The 26,279-nt window shown below is 45.8% G+C and overlaps 1 protein-coding gene, 1 non-coding gene and 1 pseudogene across 5 annotated transcripts, besides 15 other annotated features; 2 read left to right on the forward strand and 1 right to left on the reverse strand.

Moving 5' to 3' along the window:
- Positions 1,896 to 2,865: an enhancer, noted in NCBI's record as "H3K27ac-H3K4me1 hESC enhancer chr1:224356823-224357792 (GRCh37/hg19 assembly coordinates)". NCBI's record gives its function as "activates a minimal SCP1, AML or CMV promoter by ChIP-STARR-seq in primed H9 embryonic stem cells {active_cell/tissue: H9 hESC(primed)}" and the evidence as "EXISTENCE:reporter gene assay evidence [ECO:0000049][PMID:30033119]".
- Positions 2,866 to 3,835: an enhancer, noted in NCBI's record as "H3K27ac-H3K4me1 hESC enhancer chr1:224357793-224358762 (GRCh37/hg19 assembly coordinates)". NCBI's record gives its function as "activates a minimal SCP1, AML or CMV promoter by ChIP-STARR-seq in primed H9 embryonic stem cells {active_cell/tissue: H9 hESC(primed)}" and the evidence as "EXISTENCE:reporter gene assay evidence [ECO:0000049][PMID:30033119]".
- Positions 7,922 to 8,685, reverse strand: LOC724084 (zinc finger protein 706 pseudogene; annotated as a pseudogene).
- Positions 12,416 to 12,542, forward strand: LOC124900425 (small nucleolar RNA SNORA72). Its single transcript, XR_007067369.1, has one exon. It is a non-coding gene; the product is annotated as a small nucleolar RNA SNORA72 (small nucleolar RNA).
- Positions 15,191 to 15,340: an enhancer, noted in NCBI's record as "active region_2599". NCBI's record gives its function as "activates an Ori minimal core promoter by ATAC-STARR-seq in GM12878 lymphoblastoid cells {active_cell/tissue: GM12878}" and the evidence as "EXISTENCE:reporter gene assay evidence [ECO:0000049][PMID:35858748]".
- Positions 15,191 to 16,040: a biological region, named in NCBI's record as "H3K27ac hESC enhancer GRCh37_chr1:224370121-224370951".
- Positions 15,194 to 16,024: an enhancer, noted in NCBI's record as "H3K27ac hESC enhancer chr1:224370121-224370951 (GRCh37/hg19 assembly coordinates)". NCBI's record gives its function as "activates a minimal SCP1, AML or CMV promoter by ChIP-STARR-seq in naive H9 embryonic stem cells {active_cell/tissue: H9 hESC(naive)}" and the evidence as "EXISTENCE:reporter gene assay evidence [ECO:0000049][PMID:30033119]".
- Positions 15,601 to 15,690: an enhancer, noted in NCBI's record as "active region_2600". NCBI's record gives its function as "activates an Ori minimal core promoter by ATAC-STARR-seq in GM12878 lymphoblastoid cells {active_cell/tissue: GM12878}" and the evidence as "EXISTENCE:reporter gene assay evidence [ECO:0000049][PMID:35858748]".
- Positions 15,841 to 16,040: a silencer, noted in NCBI's record as "silent region_1847". NCBI's record gives its function as "represses an Ori minimal core promoter by ATAC-STARR-seq in GM12878 lymphoblastoid cells {active_cell/tissue: GM12878}" and the evidence as "EXISTENCE:reporter gene assay evidence [ECO:0000049][PMID:35858748]".
- On the forward strand, positions 16,015 to 26,216 carry DEGS1 (delta 4-desaturase, sphingolipid 1). Of its 4 annotated transcripts, NM_001321541.2 has the most exons (4): positions 16,015 to 16,193; positions 22,352 to 23,094; positions 23,867 to 23,931; positions 25,107 to 26,216. In NM_001321541.2, exons 1-3 carry the CDS (start codon positions 16,112 to 16,114, stop codon positions 23,906 to 23,908), a joined length of 867 nt encoding a protein of 288 aa, NP_001308470.1. In that variant the 5' UTR covers positions 16,015 to 16,111; the 3' UTR covers positions 23,909 to 23,931; positions 25,107 to 26,216. The 4 variants fall into 4 exon arrangements, with proteins under 4 accessions (NP_001308470.1, NP_003667.1, NP_001308471.1 ...); NM_003676.4 differs by lacking the exon at positions 23,867 to 23,931; NM_001321542.2 differs by lacking the exons at positions 16,015 to 16,193; positions 23,867 to 23,931 and adding an exon at positions 16,455 to 16,606.
- Positions 16,025 to 16,854: an enhancer, noted in NCBI's record as "H3K27ac hESC enhancer chr1:224370952-224371781 (GRCh37/hg19 assembly coordinates)". NCBI's record gives its function as "activates a minimal SCP1, AML or CMV promoter by ChIP-STARR-seq in naive H9 embryonic stem cells {active_cell/tissue: H9 hESC(naive)}" and the evidence as "EXISTENCE:reporter gene assay evidence [ECO:0000049][PMID:30033119]".
- Positions 16,141 to 16,520: a silencer, noted in NCBI's record as "silent region_1848". NCBI's record gives its function as "represses an Ori minimal core promoter by ATAC-STARR-seq in GM12878 lymphoblastoid cells {active_cell/tissue: GM12878}" and the evidence as "EXISTENCE:reporter gene assay evidence [ECO:0000049][PMID:35858748]".
- Positions 16,681 to 16,760: a silencer, noted in NCBI's record as "silent region_1849". NCBI's record gives its function as "represses an Ori minimal core promoter by ATAC-STARR-seq in GM12878 lymphoblastoid cells {active_cell/tissue: GM12878}" and the evidence as "EXISTENCE:reporter gene assay evidence [ECO:0000049][PMID:35858748]".
- Positions 18,062 to 18,356: a silencer, noted in NCBI's record as "tiled region #9300; K562 Repressive non-DNase unmatched - State 2:TssF". NCBI's record gives its function as "represses a minimal TATA promoter and a strong SV40 promoter by Sharpr-MPRA in K562 cells {active_cell/tissue: K562}" and the evidence as "EXISTENCE:reporter gene assay evidence [ECO:0000049][PMID:27701403]".
- Positions 18,062 to 18,387: a biological region, named in NCBI's record as "Sharpr-MPRA regulatory region 9300".
- Positions 18,328 to 18,387: an enhancer, noted in NCBI's record as "active region_2601". NCBI's record gives its function as "activates an Ori minimal core promoter by ATAC-STARR-seq in GM12878 lymphoblastoid cells {active_cell/tissue: GM12878}" and the evidence as "EXISTENCE:reporter gene assay evidence [ECO:0000049][PMID:35858748]".
- Positions 18,939 to 19,488: an enhancer, noted in NCBI's record as "active region_2602". NCBI's record gives its function as "activates an Ori minimal core promoter by ATAC-STARR-seq in GM12878 lymphoblastoid cells {active_cell/tissue: GM12878}" and the evidence as "EXISTENCE:reporter gene assay evidence [ECO:0000049][PMID:35858748]".
- Positions 25,334 to 25,403: a silencer, noted in NCBI's record as "silent region_1850". NCBI's record gives its function as "represses an Ori minimal core promoter by ATAC-STARR-seq in GM12878 lymphoblastoid cells {active_cell/tissue: GM12878}" and the evidence as "EXISTENCE:reporter gene assay evidence [ECO:0000049][PMID:35858748]".
- Positions 26,217 to 26,279: the final 63 nt, after the last annotated feature.

A 26,279-nucleotide genomic window follows, 5' to 3' on the forward strand; every position in this document is an offset into this window, starting at 1 on the left:
AAAAAAAAGAAAGAAAAGAAAAGAAAAAAAAATTCTAGAAAAATGCACAGGGAATCAATAACAGTGGTTATATTTTGGGGTTTGACAACATAACAACAGGAACAGGAGCTGGGAGGAGCTTATCACTAGACACCTGTATGTTTTTCTATTTTTTTTTTGAGACGGAGTCTCGCGCTGTCGCCCAGGCTGGAGTGCAGTGGCGCGATCTCGGCTCACTGCAAGCTCCGCCCCTCGGGGTTCACGCCATTCTCCTGCCTCAGCCTCCCGAGTAGCTGGGACTACAGGCGCCCGCCGCTACACCCGGCTAATTTTTTGTATTTTTAGTAGAGACACGGTTTTACCATGTTAGCCAGGATGGTCGCGATCTCCTGACCACGTGATCCGCCTGCCTCGGCCTCCCAAAGTGCTGGGATTACAGGTGTGAGCCACCGCGCCCGGCCATGTTTTTCTATTTTTAAACCATGGAAGTGTATTCAACAATTAAACCAGCTGCTATAGACTGAAAGTTTGTGTCCCCGCAAAATGTATGCCTTGAAGCCTAATCCTCAAGGGGAGGAGACTAGGAGGTTGGGCTTTGGGGAGGTGATTATGTTCATGAGGGTGAAGTCTTCATGAATGGGGTTAGTGTTCTTTTAAAAGAGACACCAGGCTGGGTGCGGTGGCTCACGCCTGTAATCCCAGCACTTTGGGAAGCCGAAGCAGGCGGGTCACCTGAGGTCAGCAGTTTGAGACCACCCTGGCCAACATGTGAAACCCCATCTCTACTAAAAATACAAAAATTAGCCAGGCATGGTGGGGTGCACCTGTAGTCCCAGTTACTTGGGAGGCTGAGGCAGGAGAATTTCTTGAACCCAGGAAGCAGAGGTTGCAGTGAGCTGAGATCATACCATTGCACTCCAGCCTGGGTGACAGAGCGAGACTCCATCTCAAAAAAATTAATTAATTAATTAATTAATTAAATAAAAGGGACCTCAGAAAACTCCTTCACCTCTTCTGCCATGTGAGGTTATAGCCAGAAGACGGCCATCCACGAACAAGGAAGCAGCCCCTCACCAGATACTGAATATGCCAGTGCCTTGATCTTGGACTTCCCAGGCTCCAGAATTTTTTTTTTTTTTTTTTGAGACGGAGTCTCTGTCACCCAGGCGGGAGTGCAATGGCACGATCTGGGCTCACTGCAACCTCTACCTCCCGAGTTCAAGCGATTCTCCCACCTCAGCCTCCCGAGTAGCTGGGATTACAGGCATGCGCCACCATACCTGGCTAATTTTGTATTTTTAGTAGAGATGAGGTTTCTCCATGTTGCTCAGGTTGGTCTCAAACTCCCGACCTCAGGTGATCCACCCACCTCAGCCTCCCAAAGTGCTGGGATTACAGGGGTGAGCCACCACGCCCAGCCTAATTTTTGTATTCTTAGTAGAGACGGGTTTTCACCATGTTGGCCAGGCTGGTTTCGAACTCTTGACCTTGTGATCCATCCGCTTTGGCCTCCCAAAGTGCTGGGATTATAGGCGTGAGCTACTGTGCCTGGCCAGACTGTTTTCTTAAAAACCAAAAGCCTGGGAAGAAAAACAAAATATCTTGCAAATGTATTCTCAATCCCAGTCAATCCCCTGCAAAACTCAGACTCTGGAAGAATGAAAGCTATGCGCTCTTTTCTCCACTCATTCATATTGTTGGCTTCACACAGATAGAAAAAGCTACTTCATCCTGCAGAACTGCTCTATCAGTTCATGGTGTTTTCCTGGATCCTGGACCCCTGCCTTCCCCACCATGAGTCACCTCTGGATCGAGTCCATCTTCTATTTGGGATTTGGAACCAGACAACCTTTGTCCCTTTTTAGCCTCTGCTGCACTCTAAGCTGTGTGATCTAAGACACGTCACTCACATTCTGGAAGTATTCGCTTCCTCATACATGAAATGGGGGAAATTTCTCTAACCATAAGCCTGCGGTTTTGATTTCAGTGCTCACTAGTTCAAGACTTTTCTTCTTGCCTATGCCCCTTCACCCTCTTCCTTTGTCAATTTCCTTTTTCATAAGCTGTGGCTGCTGGTGAGTAAAATAGTCATCTGAGTACAACTGCTTTTGCATGAGCTAGACTTGGAAGGGTGCAAATGGAAGCAGATTCATTTCTTCTCAGTAACTGCTCTTTTAGACTGTCCTGTTGCATTGTTCTGCCCTGATCCCAGAAGGAATCTCAGGCAGATCCCAGAGCCTTGTAGACTCTCCTGGTCACTAACAAATTAATCACCTTTATCCAGTTATTAAAAAATCCAGCCCGATCCGAAGAAAGACTTTATTGTCTCAATTGATTAAAGCTTCTTTCCTCTTTTTTTTCTCTTTTTTTGAGACGGAGTCTTGCTCTGTCGCACAGGCTGGAGTGCAGTGGTGCGATCTTGGCTCACTGCAGCCTCCACCTCCCGGGTTCAAGCGATTTTCCTGCCTCAGCCTCCCAAGTAGCTGGGATTACAGGTGCCTGCCACCAAGCCCAGCTAATTTTTGCATTTTTAGTAGAGACGGGGTTTCGCCATGTTGGACAGGCTGGTCTTGAACTGCTGACCTCAGGTGATCTGCCTGCCTTGGCCTCCCAAAATTCTGGGATTACAGGCATGAGCCACTGTGCCCTCCCGCTTCTTTCTTCTTTCTGTAAGTCAGGCCTGAGTTGGACTTCGGAGAAGCTTTGAGTTGGGCTTCTCCTTTTCAGTGGAGAAGGGCAGGAAGGAGGATGTCTTCCATTTATTCTCTTTGCTTTTCCTCCTCCCCCTCCTGCAAGACTCTCTGCTGTCTAACTCAGTGGGGAGGAGAGACAGAATAAAGAAAAAAAATCTGCATTACTGGTATGGTTGGAATCTGTCATGTGTGTCTCTTGGTTGAGGCAGAGATCACACTTTGGGGCTGTTTTCCCCAAGGCATTTTCCACTGTTGTTGTTGCTTTCTTTTTCTTTTTTTAAGAGATAAGGTCTTGCCCTATCACTCACTACAGTCTTGAACTCCTGAGCTCAAGTGATCCTCCTGCCTCAGCTTACTGAGTAGCTGGGACTACCATGCCTGGCTAATTATTTTTATTTTTGATAGATGCAGAGTCTTGCTACATTGCCCAGGCTGGCCTCAAACTCCTGGCCACAAGCGATCTTCCTGTCTTAGCCTCCCAAAGTGCTGGAATTACAGGCATAAGCCACTGCTGTCAGCCCTCCATTGGTTTTTAAATAATCTCCTCACGGGTTACCTTCACCATGAATTTTTCTTCCAAGTTACCATACAGCTGACTCATAGGAACCCCTCCTTAGCCCTAGGTATCTGGTGGTAAATGTTCTTTCAAAAAGAAGCATTAGGATGCATGACCTATGAGGCCATAGACAGCAACCAAATCTAGCCCTTGTCAAACGGTTACACATCTGGTCCACCTATACCTGATCAACCTGGCAGAAAAGCTACTATCAGCAGAGACCCTCTGTCCATACTCAGTGACCACGGACAGCTTCTGATTTCCCCTCACCTTTAGGCATGCTCAAGTCCAAGTCAGGTACCAGTCCCTGTGTCTCTCCAAACACAAAAGTCAAGTTGGAGGAATGGTTCTGAGAAACTCTTCACTTGGCTGTAATTAACAAAGCAACAGTTCCTTCTGCCACCAGAGGGTGTGCAGCAAGGATGGGCAGCACAACCTGCTACCAACTCTCTCTAAAGAAATTCTTTTCTCTTTTTTTTTTTTTTTTTTTGAGACGGAGTTTCACTCTTGATGCCCAGGCTGGAGTGCAATGGCGCAATCTTGGCTCACTGCAACCTCCGCCTCCCAAGTTCAAGTGAGTCTCTTGCCTCAGTCTCCTGAGTAGCCGGGACTATGGGTGCGCACCACTGCGCCTGGCAAATTTTTGTATTTTTTTTAAAGACAGGGTTTCACCATGTTGGTCAGGCTGGTCTCAAACTCCTGACCTCATGATCCGCCCTCCTCAGCCTCCCAAAGTGCTGGGATTACAGGCATGAGGCACCACACTCAGACCCCTTGCCCTCATTTTTGACAGATAGTTTTGCTAGACACAGATCCTTGGTTGATAAGTTTTTTCTTTCAGCACTTTGAATACGCCATCCCACTGCCTTCTGGCCTCCACTGTTTCTCATGAGGAGTCACCTGTTCATCATATCAGGGTCTCCTTTTCGGTGATGAGTCATTCTTCTCTTGCTGTTTCAAGATTTTCTCTTTGGCTTTCAGAATTTTATTATAATGCATGTGGGTGTGGATCTCTGTCTTGTGTTCATTCTACTGGGGTTCTTTTTTTTTTTTTTTTTTTTTTTTTGAGATGGAGTCACGCTCTGTCGCCCAGGCTGGAGTGCAGTGGCACAATCTCAGCTCACTGCAACCTCTGCCTCCCAGGTTCACGTCATTCTCCTGCCTCAGCCTCCTGAGTAGCTGGGACTACAGGCGCCCACCAACACACCTGGCTAATTTTTTATATTTTTAGTAGAGACGGGGTTTCACCGTGTTAGCCAGGATGGTCTTGATCTCCTGACCTCGTGATCCGCCCACCTCAGCCTCCCAAAGTGCTGGGATTACAGGCGTGAGCCACCGCACCCGGCCTCTACTTGGGTTCACTGCATCTCTTGGATGTGTAGATTAATGTTTCCATCAGATTTAGATCATTTTAGATATATTTTTCCTTTGTTTTTTTTTTTTTTGCCCTTTTCTCTCCTCTCCTCTGGTATTCCCATCAGCTGTATTTTGATGAGCTCAATGATGTCCCAAATTTCTCTGAGGCTCTGTTCATTTTTTATCATGGTAGATACACATAACAAAATTTACCATTTTAACCACTTTTACACGTACAATTCAGCAGCATTAAGTATATTCACAAAGTTGTTCAATCATCACCACTATCCATTCACAGAAATTTTTCATCATCCCAAACAGAAACTGTATACTCATTAAAGACTGGCTCCCCACTCCCCTTTTCCCCAACCCCTGTTAATCTCTATTATTCTTTCTGTCTCTAACTTTTATAGTTTGATCATAACAATCCCCTTTTCATCAGGTTTTCATGGAGCGTAGGAGGGGTAATTCTTTGACTTAAAAATATAATTTGAAGAAAATGACTGCTTAGGAGAGAGAGACAGAGAGAAAGAAAGTGAGAGAGAGAAAGAGAGAGAGAGAGAAAAGAGAGAGAAAGAAAAGAAAGAATAAGAAAGAAAGGAAGGAAGGAAAGAAAAAAAAGAAGGAAGGAAGGAAGAAAGGTGGGAAGGAGGACGGAAGGAAGGAAGGAGGGAAGGAAGAAGTAAGGAAGGAAGGAGGGAGGGAGGGAAGGAAGGAAGGAAAAGGAGGAATGAAGGAAGGAGGAAAGTAGAGAGGGAAGAAGGGAGGGAAAAAGAAAGCTATGAAAGCCATTGACCACAGGTCGGGATGGGAATGGGGATAATTCATCAATTTTTCTACGCTGACATAACTCCCGAGAGTTCTGACTATTCATTGGCTTTAACAGATTTGCCAAGAGGACAAATCTCAGCTTAATTAGCAAAGGATAAAATCATAAAATTAGTGGATTCCCTAATCTGGGCATGCCACATAGATGAATATGATTGCAAGGGCAGGTTTGGAAAAGGGAATGATGCCTGAATATACTGGAATTCCCAAATATTTTGGACCTCAAAGTTTGGGCTTTTAAGGAACTACCATTTAAATCTGCAGTTTGCTGTAAAGATGGTTAACAGAGTTCTGGGCCAGGCACGGTGGCTCATGCCTGTAATCCCAGCACTTTGGGAGGCTGAGGCGGGCGGATCACCCGAGGTCAGGAATTTGAGACAGCCTGGCCAACGTGGTGAAAACCCGTCTCTACTAAAAATACAAAAATTAGCCAGGCGTGGTGGCATGTGCCTGTAATCCCAGCTACTCGGGAGGCTGAGGCCAGAGAATTGCTTGAACCTGGGAGGCAGAGGTTGCAGTGAGCCACTGCTCTCCAGCCTGGCCAACAAGAGCAGAAACTCTGTATCAAAAAAAATAGTTCATTGTGCAGAATTTAACATATTTGTCAAATAATAGGCTGACCAGCCATGGAGAGAAGCTCCTATTATAGTCACAACCTATTCAAAAATATTAATGTGGGTGGGGTGCAGTGTCTCATGCCTGTAATCCTAGCACTTTGGGAGGCAGAGGTGGGTGGATCACTTGAGGCCAGGAGTTCAAGACCAGCCTGGCCAACATGGCGAAACCCCATCTCTACTAAAAATACAAAAATTAGCCGAGTGTGGTGGCACATGCCTGTAATCCCAGCTACTTGGGAGGCTGAGGCAGGAGAATCACTTGAACCAGGGAGGCAGAGGTTGCAGTGAGCCAAGATCACGCTACTGCACTCCAGCCTGGACGTAGAGTGAGATTCCGTCTCAAAAAAAAGAAAAAAATTATAGTGCATTTGAAGTGCATTCAAAAACTATGAGAACACGATTTTAGCTGTGAGCTTGTAAAAACAAAAACAAACAAAACTTATGAGAACACTTGTACCTCCCTAGCCTGAGGGGCATGATGTATAGCCTCTTTCAGGACTGTTGGTACATGTCCCTTTGAATATTCACTGTGGAGAATCTTTTTTAGCAAGCGTAGCTAAATTGTATCTGCTCCTCTAAACATTTGCCAGAAGAAGAAATAGTTTATTTTCAGGTTCAGGCTCTACACATTCTCTTTCTTTTCTTTTCTTTTTTTTTTTTGACAGAGTCTCACTCCTTCACCCAGGCTGGAGTACAGTAGCGTGATCTCGGCTCACCGCAACCTCTGTCTCCTGGGTCCAAGCAATCCTCCGGCCTCAGCCTCCCAAGTAGCTGGGATTACAGGAGCCTGCCACCATGACCAACTAATTTTTGTATTTTTTAGTAGAGACGAAGTTTCACCATGTTGGCCAGGCTGGTCTTGAACACCTGACCTCAGGTGATCCACCTGTCTCCGCCTCCCAAAGTGCTGGGATTACAGGTGTGAGCCACCGCACCGGGCCCTCTTCTCCCACCCTTTCCCTTTCTTTCTTTCTTTTTTTTTTTTTTTTTTTCTTTGACAGAGTCTCACTCTGTCGCCCAGGCTGGAGTGCAGAGGCATGAGCTTGGCTCACTGCAACCTCCACATCCTGGGTTCAAGAGATTCTTGTGCCTCAGCCTCCCAAGTAGCTGGGATTACAGATGCGTGCCACCACACCCGACTAATTTTTTGTATTTTTAGTAGAGATGGGGTTTAGCCATGTTGGCCAGGCTGGTTTTGAACCCCTGCCCTCAAGTGATCAGCTCACGTTGGCCTCCCAAAGTGTCAGGATTACAGGCATGAGCCACCACACCTGGCTTCTACACATTTTATGAGCAATAAATAATGTTGATAATCTCTCAGTTTTCTTCTTTCTTCCTGTCTCTCCCTCCCCAGTGGTCCTGCAGCAGTTCTAATCCCATTCCCATCACCAGTTGATCAGAGACCTAGTATTTTTAGGAAAGTAGCAGCCTTTATTTATTTTTTATATTTATATTTATATTTTTACTTATTTATTTATTTATTTTTGAGACAGAGTTTCACTCTTGTTGCCCAGGCTACAGTGCAATGGCACAATCTTGGCTCACTGCAACCTCCGCCTCCTGCGTTCAAGTGATTCTCCCGCCTCAGCCTCCAGAGCAGCTGGGATTACAGGCATGTGCTACCATGCCCGGCTAATTTTGTATTTTTAGTAGATCTGGGGTTTCTCCATGTTGGTCATTTTTAGTAAATCTGGGGTTTCTCCATGTTGGTCAGTTTCCATGTGGAGAGAGAATTTTGCCATGTTGCCCAGGCTGGGCTTGAACTCCTGGGCTCAAGTGATCTGTCTGCCTCAGCCTTCCAAAGTGCTGGGACTACAGGTGGGAGCCACCATGTCCAGCCTGCATACTTTTTATGTTATCAGAAATGCTATCTTTCTCTTTGGTTACATTTCTTTTTTTTTTTTTTTCGTAAATCAAAGTACTATTTTATTAAATGAGTTATTTTACACAATATGAACATCAATATAATTACAATTGTAAAAAATTTTTTTATAACAAGGATGGACTGATTTTCATATTTCCAAATCAGAGTCAACTGTACATTTACACAGAATTGTCTTTGCATGAAGCCCAAAAGGGAACAGCATAAAAAATGAGTGTTTCTGTAGCCCCTTTATTTTTGCTGATCAACAGTTTGTTAGAAAAGCAGCTGCAGGTATGTTACCTAAGGTCTGAGACAGTAGAAGAGTCAAAGGTGTCGTGAATTCACCTGTAAACAACCTTATGCCTGAACATCAGCTAATTCTGGAGGAAGTGAAGTCTTAGGATGCTTGCTCTCAAAGTGCTGCTTGAAGGTCTTAGGGTCTGGCATTCGTGTCCTACAGACAGTGCAGGTATATATTAAGGCAGCTTTGGCAGCAGCCTTTTGGTCATGTCCTTGTTTCTTCTTTTGTCCAGCTTGCTTTTTGGCATTATTCTGCTGAGACTGAATTTTCTGCTGTCCACGAGCCATATCCGGGCCAGGAGAATCTTGCGTCGGAGAGACAGTGCAGCGCGAGAGGGCCGGGAGAGGACGCCGGAGGGAAAGGAAGGGGGAGCGCGCCCAGCATCGCTTGGGCCTCCTCCACCCGCTCAGGAGGGGAAACAGGAGAGCCGGGAGCACAACAGCCTCGCGCGCCCGCCGCCGCCTCAGCCTTAGGGGAGGCCACTACGCCTCTGGTTACATTTCTTGATCATGGTATCTCCCCAGCTAGGTAAGTATCTCTTTGATTACATTTCTTTTTTTTCTTTTTTTGAGATGGAGTCTCACTCTTGCTGCTCAGGCTGCAGTGCAATGGCGCTTTCTCAGCGCACTGCAACCTTTGCCTCCCGAGTTCAAGCGATTCTCCTGCCTCAGCCTCCCAAGTAGCTGGGATTACAGGCACCCGACACTACACCCAGCTAATTTTTTGTAAAGCCACCATGCCCCCCGATTACATTTCTTTCTCTTTTGAGACGGAGTCTTGCTCTGTCGCCCGGGCTGGAGTGCAGTGGTGTGATCTGGGCTCACTGCAAGTTCCGCTTCCCGGGTTCACGCCATTCTCCTGCCTCAGCCTCCGGAGTAGCTGGGACTACAGGCGCCCGCCACCACGCCCAGCTAATTTTTTGTATTTTTAGTAGAGACGGGGTTTCACCGTGTTAGCCAGGATGGTCTCAATGTCCTGACCTCGTGATCCACCCGCCTCAGCCCCCCAAAGTGCTGGGATTACAGGCGTGAACCACCATGCCTGGCCTATTACATTTCTTAACTGGCTGTTGCTGGTGTATAAAAATACAAAACATTGGCTGGGCACGGTGGCTCATGTCTGTATTCCTAGCACTTTGGGAGGCCAAGACAGGCAGATCACTTCAGGTCAGGAGTTTAAGACCAGCCTGGCCAACAGGACAAAACCCTGTCTCTACTAAAAATACCAAAATTAGGCCGGTTGTGGTGGCTCACACCTGTAATCCCAGCACTTTGGGAGGCCGAGGCAGGAGGATCACCTGAGGTCAGGAGTTCGAGACCAGCCCGGTCAACATGGTGAAACCCTGTCTCTACAACAAACACAAAAATTAGCTGGGTGTGGTGTTAGGCGCCTGTAATCCCAGCTACTCGGGAGGCTGAGGCAGGAGAATCGCTTGAACCTGGGAGGCAGAAGTTGCAGTGAGCCAAGAATGCACCACTGTACTCCAGCCTGGGCAACAAGAGTGAAACTCTGTCTCAAAAAAAAAAAAAAAAAAAAAAAAGCCCAATAATTAGCTGGGTGTGGTGGCACATACCTGTAGGCCCAGCTACTCGGGAGGCTGAGGTGGGAGAATCCCTTGAACCTGAGAGACAGAGGTTGCAGTGAGCTGAGATTGTGCCACAGCACCCCAGCCTGGGTGATAGAGTGAGACTCCGTCTCAATAATAAAAATAAAAATAGGGGGGAGGGGGGAGGGATAGCATTAGGAGATATACCTAATGTTAAATGACGAGTTAATGGGTGCAGGACACCAACATGGCACATGTATACATATGTAACTAACCTGCACGTTGTGCACATGTACCCTAAAACTTAAAGTATAATTTAAAAAAATTAAATAAAAATATATATACATTAAAATAAAAAATATTTTTGTACATTAAGGTTTTTTGTTTATTTGTTTTTAAGATGGAGTCTCACTCTGTTGCCCAGGCTGGCGTGCATTGGCATAATCTTTGCTCATTGCAACCTCAACCTCTCGTGTTCAGGAGATTCTCTGCCTCAGCCTCCTGAGTAGCTGGGACTATAGGTGCTCGCCACCATGCCTGGCTAATTTTTGTATTTTTAGTAGGGACAGGGTTTCACCATGTTGGCCAAGCTGGTCTCGAACTCCTAGCCTCAAGTGATCCGCCTGCCTCAGCCTCCCAAAGTGCTGGGATTATAGGCATGAGCCACCGCACCCAGCCCCTGCTTTCAACATGATGTGTATGCAATAGATTAGCACTCTTTAAGGGAAGTGTCTAACCTGATGGGCCTGAGGACAAACACACAGAATCCTGTACATCCCTTCATGGACGAGGCAATCAGCTGAGAGAGATCATCCCTCCACAGGAGTGAGACCCAGAAGCCCAGAGAAGGCTATGGACTGGGAGAAACCTGCAGGGTCCGAGGGAAGACAGGTCTGGTGTATAGATCCCGAGACTGGAGGTCACTGTGGTACTAAAGATAACAGGAGTAAATGGCAGCACATCATGCCCCCAAACTGGCCAGGACTAGCTACACTGAGTGAGGCCAGCATGGCAGAAGACAAAACAGGCAAGGGATTATTTCCCCTGCCACACTAAGTCAGCTTTAGTTATGAACAAATTCGCGAATTTTTTTTTTTTTTTAGACGGAGTTTTGCTCTTGTTGCCCAGGCTGGAGTGCAATGGTGCAATCTCAGCTCACTGCAACCTCTGCCTCCCAGCTTCAAGCGATTCTCCTGCCTCAGCCTCCCAAGTAGCTGGGATTACAGGCATGTGCCACCAAGCCCAGCTAATTTTGTAGTTTTAGTAGAGACGGGGTTTCACCATGTTGGCCAGGCTGGTCTCAAACTCTTGACCTCAGGTGATCCACCTGCCTCAGCCTCCCAAAGTGCTGGGATTACAGGCATCAGCCACCGCATCCAGCCTTATGTCATCTATTTCTTGACACCAATAACAGACAACTACTCTAGTCAGTAATTAGTTGTCAATATATATTTTTCTTACTTAAAATGTATTATTTAAATATAAAATTAGCACATGTAAATTTATAGTTAAAACATTCATGAATTTGGGCCAGGCGCTGTAGCTCATGCCTGTAATCCCAGCACTTTGGGAGGCTGAGGCAGGTGGATCACCTGAGGTCAGGAGTTTCGAGACCAGCCTGACCAATATGGTGAAACTAAAGTACAAAAATTAGCCAGGCGTGGTGACATGAATCTGTAATCCCAGCTACTCGGGAGGCTGAGGCAGGAGAATCACCAGAACTCAGGAGGCGGAGATTGCAGTGAGCCAAGATTGGGCCATTGTACTCCAGCCTGGGCGACAGAGCGAAACTCCATCTCAAAAATAAAATAAAAAGAAAAGAAAAGAAATAGATAACATAAAATTCTTACGATTATTTGCTTGAAGTGAATAAAGAATGTTTTCTGTATTACTCTTCTATGAATTACAGTAGTCAATACCATTCAATCTCAACTGTTATCACTATTGAAATGGCCTCAAAAATAAACTGCCCTTTCAAAAATCAAGCAGATGGAAAAGGAAAAATCCATATTGATTTCAAAAGTACAGCTGCCCTCATCTGAAAACTACTTCATCTTAAATTTCCTAATATGATCATGGCTGGCTGCGATTCACCACAGCTTCCAACAGCCGACTGGAGAGCGTTTTTCCAGAATAACTAGTATGTTTGCTTCAAGACAAATTATTTGACAAGGTTAAGGAAAAGATGTGAAAGCTAGATAATCCATTAAGAATCTTTTTTTAAAACTTCAAGGCATTTTATTTATACTTCTTTTTTTTTTTTTTGAGACAGTCTCGCTCTGTCGCCCAGGCTAGTGTGCAGTGGTGCAATCTCAGCTCACTGCAACCTCCGCCTCCCGGGTTCAAGCTGTTTTCTGCCTCAGCTTCCCAAGTAGCTGGGATTACAAGCACCCACCGCCATGCCCAGCTAATTTTTGTATTTTTAGTAGAGACGGGGTTTCACCATCTTGGCCAGGCTGGTCGTGAACTCCTGACCTTGTGATCCACCCACCTCGGCCTCCCAAAGTGCTGGAATTACAGGCGTGAGCCACCATGCCTGGCTATACTTCTTAGCTTACTTTTTTATTACGCGTATATATTAAGAACTTTTAAAAGTCCAAATTAAAGAAGCATGCCTAGACATCATTAAAATAGCTATCAATGCCCATGACAATCCTGTAGCTCAAATAGTTTACTTTAGAATGTCAAAATTGATTTTGTAATAGTCAGGACAGGATAAACAGTCGCTATATTAAGACCATGTACGTGTCCCTAGACCTAGTTCTTTCCCTACGTCTGTTTTTATAAATGCTGGTGATAAACCAGGTCTGATTAATATATAATCATTTTGTGTGATTATGTAACGGCTATAATTCTAGGTTATCTTTGGTCAACCTTAAGAAAAATGGCAGTATATGTAATGACTTTTGCAAATGATCAGTGCTAATTTGCAGACTTTTGTTTAAAGAGGGTTTAAACAAAATAAGAAAATTTCATGATTACCAGTTGCTATTAAATGAATTGTAACTTTTTTTAAAAAAAAAGAATGTCCAAGCCAGGTGTGGTGCTCATGCCTGTAATCCCAGCACTTTGGGAAGCCAAGAAGGGCAGATCACTTAAGGTCAGGAGTTCAAGACCAGCCTGGCCAACATGGTGAAACCCCGTCTCTAGTAAAAATACAAAAAGTTGCTGGACGTGGTGGCACACACCTGTAATCCCAGCTACTCGGGAGGGTGAGGCAGGAGAATCGCTTGAACCCAGGAGGCAGAGGTTGCAGTGAGCCAAGATCTTGACACTGCACTCCAGCCTGGGCAACAGAGCGCAACTCCATCTCAGAAAAAAAAAATGGTATATCCAGATTCACATTTTTTTTCAAACTCTGCATTTTTCTTTCTTTCTTTTATTTTTTAATGTTTTTGAGACAAAGCCTCACTCTGTCACACAGGCTAGAGTGCAGTGCCACAATCTCAGCTCATTTCTCAGCTCATTGAAGCCTCGACCTCCTGGGCTCAAGCAATCTTCCCACCTCAGCCTCAGCAATAGGTGGGACCACAAACATGGGCCACCACGCCCAGTTAAATTTTTTTTTTTTTTTTTTGAGACGGAGTCTTGCTCTGTCGCCCAGTCTGGAGTGCAGTGGTGCGATCTCGGCTCACTGCAAGCTCCGCCTCCCGGTTTCATGCCATTCTCCTTCCTCAGCCCCCCAAGTAGCTGGGGCTACAGGCGCCCCCCCCACCATGCCTGGCTAATTTTTTTTGTATTTTTAGTAGAGATGGGGTTTCACCGTGTTAGCCAGGATGGTCTGGATCTCCTGACCTTGGAGACCGCCTTGGCCTCCCAAAGTGCTGGGATTACAGGCATGAGCCACCATACCCGGCATAATTTTTGTATTTTTTATAGAGGTGGGTTTTTGCCATGTTGCCCAGGCTTGTCCCGAACCCCTGCCCTCAAGCGATCCCCCTACCTCGGCCTCCCAAAGTGCTCAGACTACAGACGTAAGCCTCCGCACACCTTTTGGACTGGTGTGCCAGTTCACACATGCCTGTGATAGCAACTGCGTTCTGAACTGCAGGGATACATTTACTTGTCAGCACCTGAAAACTTCCTCCTGAGTTGAGTCCAATTATCAGCTTCATGTGCCATCTGCCAATCCAGATGAAACTTGGCAAATACAAAGCTGTCCTTTTCCAGGTGACACTCCCCACCTTCTTTTTCCTCCACCATTTCATTAACAACTAAAAAGCTCCTGCATGATCAGACCTGTGTATCTATCCATCATCAAATCCCACTCCTTTTTCGAGACTGGGACCCTCTGGAGGCTGACCCAGCCACGCATTTGCTAGCATGCCCTGCAGACATGACCCTCGCTGGGCTCTGATCAGCCTTCAGGCCTCCACTCCAGGTGTCACTGTTCTGTCTCCCCTCTGCTCTCACAGCCTTCTCTGCTAGATGTCTCAGCCGTGCTGGCCCTCTCTATTTCAGAAGTGAATGTACTGAGAGGGTCTTAGGGACTTATTAATAATGCTCCTGGGGTCGGATGTAGTAGCTCATGCCTGTGATCCCAATACTTTGAGATCACTTGAGCCCAAGCGTTTGAGACCAGCCTGGGCAACAAGGTGAGGCCCCATCTCTATCAAAAATTCAAAAAAGTAGCCAAGCATGGTGGTGCACGCCTGTGATCCCAGCTCCTCGGGAGACTGGGGTGGGAGGATGGCTTAAGCTCAGGTCAAGACTGAAGTGAGACATGAGGCCACCACTGCACTCCAGCCTGGGCAACAGAGCAGGACTCTGTCTCAAAAAAAACAAAACCCACTATAACCATAATACTATTATCACACTTAAGAAATTCATAATTCCTTAATATCATCACATATCCAATTGATATCTGAGTTCAATTATTTCATGTCAATGTTTTTAAACTATTTCAATCAGAATCTAAATGAGGTCAACACGTTGCAATTGGTTGGTATGTCTTTTAAACTCCTTTTAATCTACAGGTTTCTCTTTTTTTGCCTTGAGTTTCATTTATTAGAGAACCCAGACATTGTCCCATATAGTCTCCCAGAGTTGGATCTTGCTAGTTTCATCCCCACGGCCTAGTTTAACACATTCCTCTGTCCTTTCTATTTTCTTTTTTTTTTCTTGAGAGGGAGTCTCCGTCTGTCCCCCAGGCTGGAGTGCAGTGGCTCCGTCTCAGCTCACTGCAACCTCTGCCTCCCAGTTCGAGCGATTCCCCTGCCTCAGCCTCCTGAGTAGCTGGGATTACAGGCGCCTGCCACTACGCCCAGCTAATTTTTTTATATTTTTAGTAGAGACGGGGGTTTCACCATCCTGATCAGGCTGGTCTCGAACTCCCGACCTCAGGTGATGGACCCGCCTCTGCCTCACAGAGTGCAAGGATTACAGACGTGAGCCACCGCACCCGGCCAAATGTCCTTTCTATTTTCTATAAATTAACAGTCAGATCTAGGGGCTCGATCAGATTTGTGTGTGTGTGTGTGCCGTGTGCGCGTGCACAGCATGTTCTTTGACTAGGAGGCACACCTGCTTTGGTTATCTTCTTTTTGTAATCTTTAAGTTGCTCTTTGATGTAGACGTGGTAACTAATGTTGAAACAAAATTAGTTTCGTTTCAAAACCTTTCTTTCAGGAAGAGGTTGTGGTTGATTACTTCTGCGACAGGTAGATGCAAGGTTGAGCAATCATCTCTTAACAGAAGTGGTCACACTAGAATAATTCAAGCACAACAACAAATCCCACATCATCACCCCCTCTTAATAATGGTGTTTTCTTTTTACTTGATTAGCTTTTAATTGTCACGCACTCTGCATTTTTTCCCTGAGGTATTATTTCCAGAAGGCAGCGAAATATGACTCAATGGCTAATTTGCTTTTTAAAAATTAAACAAAACTTAGGCCAGCTGCCATTTAAGAAGGGCTCCGGGGCCTCCAGACTCGGTGTGACCGTAGCCGTGCCCGGTGCTCCCCTCGCGGAGGCGTTAGGGCGGCAGGTTTATCTCACTTGAGACCATTCCTTCCTTTTTCATCTTCTCCGGGCTCCGGCGCAGCAGGCCGCAGGGGCGGGCACTCGCAAGAACGCGGCATCCTGGATGGTGGCCGAGTCACCGAAGCTCAGAACCCCGCGTCCCAGAATCGCTGAGAGCCGGCCCCGCACGGGGGCCTGGGAGCGCCACGCGCCCTCCACCCAGAGAGGCAGGCGGGCGGGCCGGGGGGGGCGGGGCCTCGGGACTCCGCCCACGCCTCCGTCTCCTCCGCGCTCCGCCACAGCCGGCCGACACCACACCAGCCGGGGAGCCGCCGCCGCCGCCGCCACCTCTGAGCAGCCGGCTGGGAGCGAGAGCCGACAGCTAGTCTGCAAGCCACCGCTGTCGCCATGGGGAGCCGCGTCTCGCGGGAAGACTTCGAGTGGGTCTACACCGACCAGCCGCACGCCGACCGGCGCCGGGAGATCCTGGGTGAGGGCCAGCGGGCGCCCCGTTATGTGCGTGCGTGGCCTCCCGGCGCCGGGGCGCGCTCTCCCCTCGCGGGCCCTGCGCGGTCGTGGGCGCCGGAGGCCCGTTAGCAGCCTGCTCCCCGTCGCGTCCCGTCGCCGCTCGGGCCGCCAGCCCGCGGGTCAGCGCGGGAGAGGCTGGGCGAGGAGCGGGGGGAGGGACGGGTCCTCGGAGCCGCGCAGCTCCGACCCTTCCGCGAAGAGGCGCAGGCGCGTCCCCGAGCGCGGGAGTCCCCGCCAGGCCCACGCCGGCCGGTTGGGGCGAAGGGTGTCCCCGGCTGTGCCAGCCTTGAGTAGATCTTTTCGCTAGAAGATTCCTGTGCCCTCAGGTGGGCGCCCTTTCCTCTCACCACTCCCTCTCCTCCGGAGCGGGCCGAGGTGAGCGGGTGCCGGCCTTGGGGCTGCCTGAGTGCTAGGCAGGGTGTGGTCCTGGGCATCCTTGGGCCTACCAGCGAGCCCTGCTCAGGGTGTCGGGCGCCGGCGGGCAGTACTGGCGGGGGCGGCCGCAGTCCCGGCCTTGGGCCCGTTAAGGGGGCCGGCGTCCCTCCATATGCCCCCCGGGGCTTCTCGGACTTGATGGGCCCTGGTCGGTTCACGCCGCTTGTCCCATTGATCCTCACGACAAGCCTGGGACGTAAGAACGGCGGATTCGTAGGCATTTTTCATCCATCTCGGTTTTGTGGATGAAAAGACTGAAAATGGAAGACTTGCCAAATAAGGAAAATATGTGGCGTGGCCTGCTGGTCCCCTGACAGCTAATTGAGAGGCCTTAACTCTCCAGAGGATTCGGGCCTTCTGTGTTACATAGAGAATGCTCATCTCTCCCAGGCTACTCCTAATATGCTAGGGATTGTGTGGAATGCTTTACAAACATTACCCAATTTCATCCTCTTGGTAATTCTACTTGGTTGGTATTATCGCTGTTTTAAAAAATGAAATAAGAACGCGTGACTAAATGCTAGGGGGATTCTAATGCGCATTCGGTTGCCTCTTCCAGAGCACGTGTTTGTTTTTTGTTTGTTTGTTTTTTGAGACTGCACGTGTTTGTTTTTTGTTTGTTTGTTTGTTTGTTTTTTGAGACTGAGTCTCACTCTGTTGCTCATGCTGGAGTGCAGTGGCGCGATCTCCACTCGCTGCAACCTCTGCCTCCTGGGTTCAAGCGATTCTTCTGTCTCAGCCTCCCGAGTAGCTGGGATTACAGGTTCCCACCACTACGCCTGGCTAATGTTTGTATCTTTTTTAGTTAGAGACGGGGTTTCACCATGTTGGCCAGGCTTATCTCGAACTCCTGACCTCAGGTGATCCGCCCGCCTTGGCCTCCCGAAGTTTTGGGATTACAGGCGTGAACCACCGTGCCCGGCCAGAGCACGAGCTTTTTAACCTCTGTTGAGGAAACGGGGACCGGTCACGGTAGCTCAGGCCTGTAATCCTAGCACTTCGGGAGGCTGAGGCGGGAGGATCGCTTCAGCCCAGAAGTTTGAGACCATCCTGAGTAACATAGTGAGAGCCCCCCGTTTACACACACACACACACACACACACACACACACACACTTTTTTTAAATTGAGGAAACGGTGAGTTGAACATGAGCAATTATTCCTTATATATAGTATTTCCTTAGTTTTTCTTCTCAACATTCATTTGCCCAGTGAAAAGAAAAAGCAAGTAGCTGGGACCACAAGCGCACACCACCATGCCTGGTTGATTTTTCTATTTTTTGTAGAGATGGGTTTCTCCGTGTTGCCCAGGCTGGTCTTGAACTCCTGGGCTCAAGCAATCTGTCCGCTTTGGCCTCCCAAAGTGCTGGGATTTTAAAGGCGTAAGCCACTGCACCCGGTAACTTTGGGTTCTTGAATTCCCTTCCTCCTCTTCTTCCTCCTCCCCTACACTCCATTAGAGAAAGGGTCTTGCTTTGTTGCCCAAGCTGGAGTGCGGTGGTTGTTCACAGGCATGATGATCACTGCAGCCTGGGCTCCAGTGGTCCGCATACCTCAGCCTGCCAGTAGCAATTTGTTTGGCACATCACTTACACATACTTGATATGAGATAGCATGATACTTTTTTGAGACGGAGCCGCACTCTGTCACCCAGGCTGGAGTGCAGTGGCCCAGTCTCGGCTCACTGCAACCTCTCCCTCCTGGGTTCAAGCAGTTCTGCCTGCCCCAGTCTCCCGAGTACCTGGGATTACAGACGCCCGCCACCATACCTGGCTAAGTTTTTCTATTTTTATTTTTAGTAGAGACAGGGTTTTGCCACATTGGCCAGGCTGGTCTCAGATGATGCGCCTGCCATGGCCTCCCAAAGTCCTGGGATTACAGGCGTGAGCCACCCTGCCAGGCCACATATGATATATTTTATCAATGCCTTATCTACATGTTACATAGGAATAATCTAGCGTCCTACCTGTGTAAAAACCAACTCTGGAATACTGAAACTGAGCTACTTAATATTCTGAAAATCAGGACGGGTGTGGTGGCTTTTTTTTGCCTGTAATCCGAGCACTTTGAGAAGCTGAGGCAAGAAGATCGCTTGAGGCCAGTTCAGAACAGCCCCATCTGCACGAGAAATTAAAAAATTAGCTAGGCGTGCATGCCTGTCCCGCTACTCAGAAGGCTGAGGCGAGAGGAACACTTGAACTCAGGAGTTCGAGGCCAACCTGGGCAACATGGCAAAACCCCATCTCTACCAAAAAAAAAAAAATTTAATTAGCGGGACATGGTGGCATGTGCCTGTGGTCCCAGCTACACAGAAGGCTGAGGTGGGAGGATTGCTTGAGCTGGGGAGGTAGAGGCTGCAGTGAGCCGTGATTGCCCCACCGCGTTCCAGCCTGGGCAACAGAGTGAGACTGTCTCAAGAAAAAGAGATGAAGGAAGTGAGAAGGTGCTGATTGATACTTACCTCACACTGAGCCTTTTTTCCCCCCACAGACTTATCACTGAACCATTTCACTGGGAAAGTAAAAGGACCACATATTTCTTGGCCGGGCATGGTGGCTCACGCCTGTAATCCCAGCACTTTAGGAGGCTAAGGTGGGCGGATCATGAGGTCAGGAGATCGAGACCATCCTGGCTAACACGGTGAAACCCCATCTCTACTAAAAATACAAAAAATTAGCCGGGCGTGGCGGCAGCCACCTGTAGTCCCAACTACTCAGGAGGCCGAGGCAGGAGAATGGCGTGAACCCGGGAGGCAGAGCTTGCAGTGAGCTGAGATGGTGCCACTGCACTCCAGCCTGGGCGACAGAGTGAGCCTCCGTCTCAAAAAAAAAAAAAAAAAAAAAAGAAGGACTACATATTTCTCAATGAAAATACAGTGTACAATGTTTTCCATGCAGGTGTAAATACTAACTCATGTTCTGTTTCAGGGTGGGAGATGGAATAACCTGTAGAAAGAATCTTTAGATTTGTTTAAATTATACACAAATGATAAGAGATCTTTCTGAAAGTATTGACTTTTTGGCGGGGGAGGGAAGGGGCCTGATAGAACAACCAACAATTGTACACTTTAAGTTTACATTTAGAGTTCACATTAAAAGTTCATTTACAAGGCATCTGTTTGAAATTCGTGAGGATGAGCTGGGCTGGGTGGCTCATGGCTGTAATCCCAGCCCTTGGGTGGCTGAGGTGGACAGGTCACCTGAGGTCAGGAGTTCAAGACCAGTCTGGCCAACATGGTGAAACCCCGTCTCTACTAAAAATACAAAAATTAGCTGGGTGTGGTGGTGGGCGCCTGTAATCCCAGCTACTGGGAAGGCTGAGGCAGGAGAATTGCTTGAACCCAGGAGGCAGAGGGTGCAGTGAGCTGAGATCTCACCATTGCACTCCAGCCTGGGCAACAGAGCGAGACTCCGTCTCAAAAAAAAAAAAGAATAAATCACAAGAAATGGTTCCTTCACTGTTATACTTTAACATGATACAGCTTTTTAATGTTTTATTTTTTGAGAGAGAGTCTCACTGTGTTGCCCAGGCTGGAGTGCAGTGGTGTGATCATAAATTCTTGGGCTCAAGTGATGCTCCCGCTTCAGCATCCTAAGTAGCTGGGACTACAGGCTTGTGCCACCTCACCTGGCTAATTTTTTTTATTTTTGGTAGAAATAGAATCTGTTTGCCCAGGCTGGTCTTGAACACTGGGCCTCAGGCAGTCTTTGTGCCTCAGCCTCCCAAAGTGCTGGATTAATGGTGTGAGCCACAGCACCTGGCCAATAGCTTTATTGAGATTATAATTCAACTATCATGATTTATTCATTTAAAGTGTACAGTTCAGTATTTTTTAGTATATTCACAGAGTTGTGCAGCTGTCACCACCATATAACCTTAGAACATTTCATCATCACCAAAAGAAACCCTATACTCATTAGCAGTCCCTCATATCCCCTGCTTCTACCTAGGTAACCACTAATCTACTTTGTGGCCTATAGATTTGCTTATTCTGGACATTTCATATACATGAAATCATAAAATACCTGATCTTTTATGATTGGCTTTTACTTAGCATAATATAAATTTTTTTTTTTTTTTAATTTGTAGAGACAGGGTCCTGTTATGTTGCCCAGGCTGATCTTGAATTCCTGGGCTCAAGTGATCCTCCTGCCTTGGCCTCTCAGAGTGCTGGCATTATAGGTGTGAGCCACTGCACCCAGCCATTAGCATAATATTTTAGCTGGGCACAGTGGCATGCTCCTGTAGTCCCAGCTACTAGGGTGACTGAGGCAGGAGGATCACTTGAGTCCAGGAGTTTGAGGCTGTAGTGAGCTATGATGGCATCACTGTACTTCAGCCTGAGTGACAGAGGTAGACCCTGTCTCTAAATATTTTAAGGTTCATTAAAATAATATATTTTCAATAAAATAATATTTCAATAAAATAATATTTTAAGGTTCATTCATGTTATAGCATATGTCAGTGTATGATTCCTTTTTCTGGCTGAATAATATTCCTTTGTATGGATATACCAGGTGTTTAACATTTTGAGGAACTGCTGTACAGTTTTCCAAAGCAGCTGCACCATTTTATATTCCCACTAGCAAAGTATGAGGGTTCTAATTTCTCCACATCCTTGTTTTTACCTACCTTTTTTTATTATAGTCATCCTAGTGAGTGTGAGGTGGTATCTATGGTTTCAGTTTGCACTTTCCTAATGACTAACGGTGTTGAGCCTCTTTCATGTGTTTCTTGACTGTTTCCGTATCTTTTGGAGAAAAGTGGGTTCAGATCCTTTGCCCATTTTTTAATTGGATTATTAGTTGTAAGAGTTCTTCATATATTCTGGATATAGGTCCCTTATGAGATACATGATTTGCAAACATAACCCCGCTTCTGTGGATTGTCTTTTTACTTTCTTGACAGTATCATGTGCAACAGAAAGTTTTTGATGCTGTCCGATTTCTCTGTTTTCTTTTGTCACTTGTACTTGTTATAGTATCTAAGAAACCACAAAGGCCATGAAGATTTATTTCTATGTTTTCTTATCAGAGTTTTATAATTTTCTTATAAATTTGGGTCTGTGATCTGTTTTGAGTTCATTTTTGTGTATGGTGTAAGGTAGGGGTCTGAATCCATTCTTTTGCCTGTTGATAACAAGTCGGTCTAGCACCATTTGTTGAAAGGACTGTTCTTTCCCTGATTATATTGGTAGCCTGTAGTATTGGTTTTTATATACTATTACAATTTTGGGAAAATTCAGTACAGAATTACTTGGAGCATGTTGATTTGTCTGAGAAAACTGTGAATACCAGTTTCATGATTTTAGGGTAACTACAAAATGTATATTATATTCTATCCTTTGTCAGATGTGTTAATTTAATCGTTTTATATAAGGTAAGAATGCTGTACCTCTGTCTAAACACAGAAATAACATGTATTTTAATATAAAGAATGTGGAACTTCTAAACTTTGAGGCTAATTTTTCCTGCATAAATTCTCAAATTATTGTGACATGATATTTCATAACTTTACTAGTAGAATCCTTCCCTGTGTTATTAAATATCCACTAAAGTCTCTAGTAAAGGGAATATGATTTACAGAACAAATTTAATGTGTTAGTTTAATTGGTGTTAATTTAATTATAATTGGTGAACTATTACATACTTTTCTTAGTTCCTGTTTTTTTGTTTTTTCTTTACAGCAAAGTATCCAGAGATAAAGTCCTTGATGAAACCTGATCCCAATTTGATATGGATTATAATTATGATGGTTCTCACCCAGTTGGGTGCATTTTACATAGTAAAAGACTTGGACTGGAAATGGGTCATATTTGGGGCCTATGCGTTTGGCAGTTGCATTAACCACTCAATGACTCTGGCTATTCATGAGATTGCCCACAATGCTGCCTTTGGCAACTGCAAAGCAATGTGGAATCGCTGGTTTGGAATGTTTGCTAATCTTCCTATTGGGATTCCATATTCAATTTCCTTTAAGAGGTATCACATGGATCATCATCGGTACCTTGGAGCTGATGGCGTCGATGTAGATATTCCTACCGATTTTGAGGGCTGGTTCTTCTGTACCGCTTTCAGAAAGTTTATATGGGTTATTCTTCAGCCTCTCTTTTATGCCTTTCGACCTCTGTTCATCAACCCCAAACCAATTACGTATCTGGAAGTTATCAATACCGTGGCACAGGTCACTTTTGACATTTTAATTTATTACTTTTTGGGAATTAAATCCTTAGTCTACATGTTGGCAGCATCTTTACTTGGCCTGGGTTTGCACCCAATTTCTGGACATTTTATAGCTGAGCATTACATGTTCTTAAAGGGTCATGAAACTTACTCATATTATGGGCCTCTGAATTTACTTACCTTCAATGTGGGTTATCATAATGAACATCATGATTTCCCCAACATTCCTGGAAAAAGTCTTCCACTGGTAAGTAAAGGATTTGATACATATTCTAATTTTGTTTTTTCATTTGTTTGTTTTTTGAGACGGTGTCTCACTCAGTCGCCCAGGCTGGCGGGCAGTGGCACGATCTCGGCTCACTGTAACCTCCACCTCCCGGGTTCAAACGATTCTCATGCCTCAGTCTCCCAAGTAGTTGGGATTACAGGCGCATGCTACCACGCCCAGCTAATTTTTGTATTTTTAGTAGAGATGGGGTTTTGCCATGTTGGCCAGGCTAGTATTTTGTCAGTCCAAGCAGTTCATTAAAAAAAAAAAAAACAAAAAGAGCAAGAATATAAATACTGCATCTTCCAGCCTACTTTTACAAAGGGTTCACTCTTGGGTCCTTAAGCTTAGTGGTTACACTTAGGATTTATTTTTAATTTTATTTTTTAACTTTATGTTTTTTTAGAGACAGGGTCTTGCCCTGTCACCTAGTCTAGAGTGCAGTGGTACGATAGCTCACTGCAGCCTCAACTCCTGGGTCAAGCGATCCTCCCACCTCAGCCTCCTGAGTAGGCAGGATTATAGGCACGTGCCACCATGCCTGGCTAATTTTTTATTTTTTGTAGAGGCAGGGTCTTGCTGTGTTGCTCAGGCTGGTCTCAAACTCCTGGATTCAAGTGATCCTCCTGCCTCAGCCTCCCAAGTAGCTAGGACTACAGCCACATGCTATGACAGGCTGATTTTTTAAATAATTTCTTTTAATCCTCCAAATGGTTTGTTAAAATTTTTAACATTTTTAACATTTTTATAGAGCTGGAGTTTCCTGGATGGGTGCAGTGGCTCACACCTGTAATCCCAGCACTTTGGGAGGCCTAGGTGAGTGGATCATCTGAGGTCAGGAGTTCGAGACCAGCCTGGCCAACATAGTGAAAGCCTGTCTCTACTAAAAATACAAAAAACTTAGCTGGGCATGGTGGCGGGTACCTATAGTCCCAGCTACTCGGGAGGCTGAGGCGGGAGAATCGTTTGAACTCGGGCAGTGGAGGTTGCAGTGAGCCGAGATTGTGCCACTGCACTCCAGCCTGGGTGACAGAGCGAAACTCCGTCTCAAAAAAAAAAAAAGAGAGAGATGGGTTTCCCTGTGTTGCCCAGGCTGGTCTCAAATTCCTGGGCTCAAGTGATTCTCTTGCCTTCCAGAATGATGCTGGGATTATACATACGAACCACTGTGCCCATCCAGATAGTTTTTTAACTTGAGATGAAAAGACATTTTTAACTTGAGATGGCAGAATTGCACATTTGATAAGTGCTTTTTTTTTTTTTTTTTTTTTTTTGAGATGGAGTCTCTCTCTCACCCAGGCTGGAGTGCAGTGGCACAATCTCGGCTCACTGCAACCTCCGCCTCCCGAGTTCAAGCAATTCTCCTATCTCAGCCTCCTGAGTTGCTGGGACTACAGGCGCACGCCACCATGTCTGGCTAATTTTTTTGTATTTTTAGTAGAGATGGGGTTTCACCATATTGGTTAGGCTGGTCTCGAACTCCTGACCTCAGGTGATCCACCCGCCTCGGCTTCCCAAAGTCCTGGGATTACAGGTATGAGCCACCGCACCCAGCCAAGTGCTTAATTTCTATCTAATTAGCATGCCACAATTTATTAGTATTTGTAAGTTCCTGGATGGCAGGGATCAGATGTTGCCTTTATATTCTATGGCGTCATCCATGCAGTACATTCTTTAATAATATCAAGTTAATCTAATTGTATGTATTTGTTGTTAATTTTACAAATAAGCCAGATATTTAGTCCCTTGGAATGTGATGGGAGAGAGACCTAGAGGGTCGAGTGTATTCAACTGCTGCTGAAATGTAGACTGCTTTTTGTTTAGAATTCCCACAGCTGCTGCTGCTGCTGCTTTTTTTTTTTTTTAAGAGAGAGGAGGGAGGCAGGTCTCATGGTTTCCCTTCTCAGTGTTTGTGTCAACCATTCATCAGTCATCTTTGAAAGAACCTAGTAACACTCATTTTTCATCTTGCTGTATTTTTTCCCTTCTAGGTGAGGAAAATAGCAGCTGAATACTATGACAACCTCCCTCACTACAATTCCTGGATAAAAGTACTGTATGATTTTGTGATGGATGATACAATAAGTCCCTACTCAAGAATGAAGAGGCACCAAAAAGGAGAGATGGTGCTGGAGTAAATATCATTAGTGCCAAAGGGATTCTTCTCCAAAACTTTAGATGATAAAATGGAATTTTTGCATTATTAAACTTGAGACCAGTGATGCTCAGAAGCTCCCCTGGCACAATTTCAGAGTAAGAGCTCGGTGATACCAAGAAGTGAATCTGGCTTTTAAACAGTCAGCCTGACTCTGTACTGCTCAGTTTCACTCACAGGAAACTTGTGACTTGTGTATTATCGTCATTGAGGATGTTTCACTCATGTCTGTCATTTTATAAGCATATCATTTAAAAAGCTTCTAAAAAGCTATTTCGCCAGGCACGGTGGCTCATGCCTATAATCCCAGCACTTTGGGAGGCCAAGGTGGGTGGATCACCTGAGGTCAGGAGTTCGAGACCAGCCTGGCCAACACGGTGAAACCCCATCTCTACTAAAAATGCAAAAATTAGCCGGGCGTGGCGGCACATGCCTGTAATCCCAGCTACATGGGAGGCTGAGGTGGGAGAATTGCTTGAACCCAGGAGGCGGAGGCAGAGGCTGCAGTGACCCAAGATTGTGCCACTGCACTCCACCCTGGGCAACAGAGCAAGACCCCATCTCAAAAATAAATAAATATATATAAAAAATAAAAAGCTATTTCTAGTTTATTTCACTATAAAGTTTTGCTTTATTAAAAAGCTAATAAACAGCTATTAATCACAGTGTATTAGTATTTGTTACATTTTTGTATTTCACTATCTTTATACTATATAATATGGTAACTTGGGTACCGGGGGAACTTTAAAATTTCATCTCAAAAATAATTTTTAAAAAGCCTGAGGTATGATATAGCATAAAAGATTGAGATGAAAATATATTTCCCTGTAAGCTGAATTACTCATTTAAAAATTTTAACTTCTATATGGGACCCGAATTAGACACTGCTGAATCCTGTACAGCCTTACTCATAAATAAAGTACTTACTGAATTTCCACCATTCAAATTCATTTTTCAGGTGTGTTGACTCTCACATTAGAAACTGCTCAACTGATAAAGACTTTCATGT

This window comes from Homo sapiens, chromosome 1 (genome assembly GCF_000001405.40).
Source record: "Homo sapiens chromosome 1, GRCh38.p14 Primary Assembly".
NCBI lineage: Eukaryota > Metazoa > Chordata > Mammalia > Primates > Hominidae > Homo > Homo sapiens.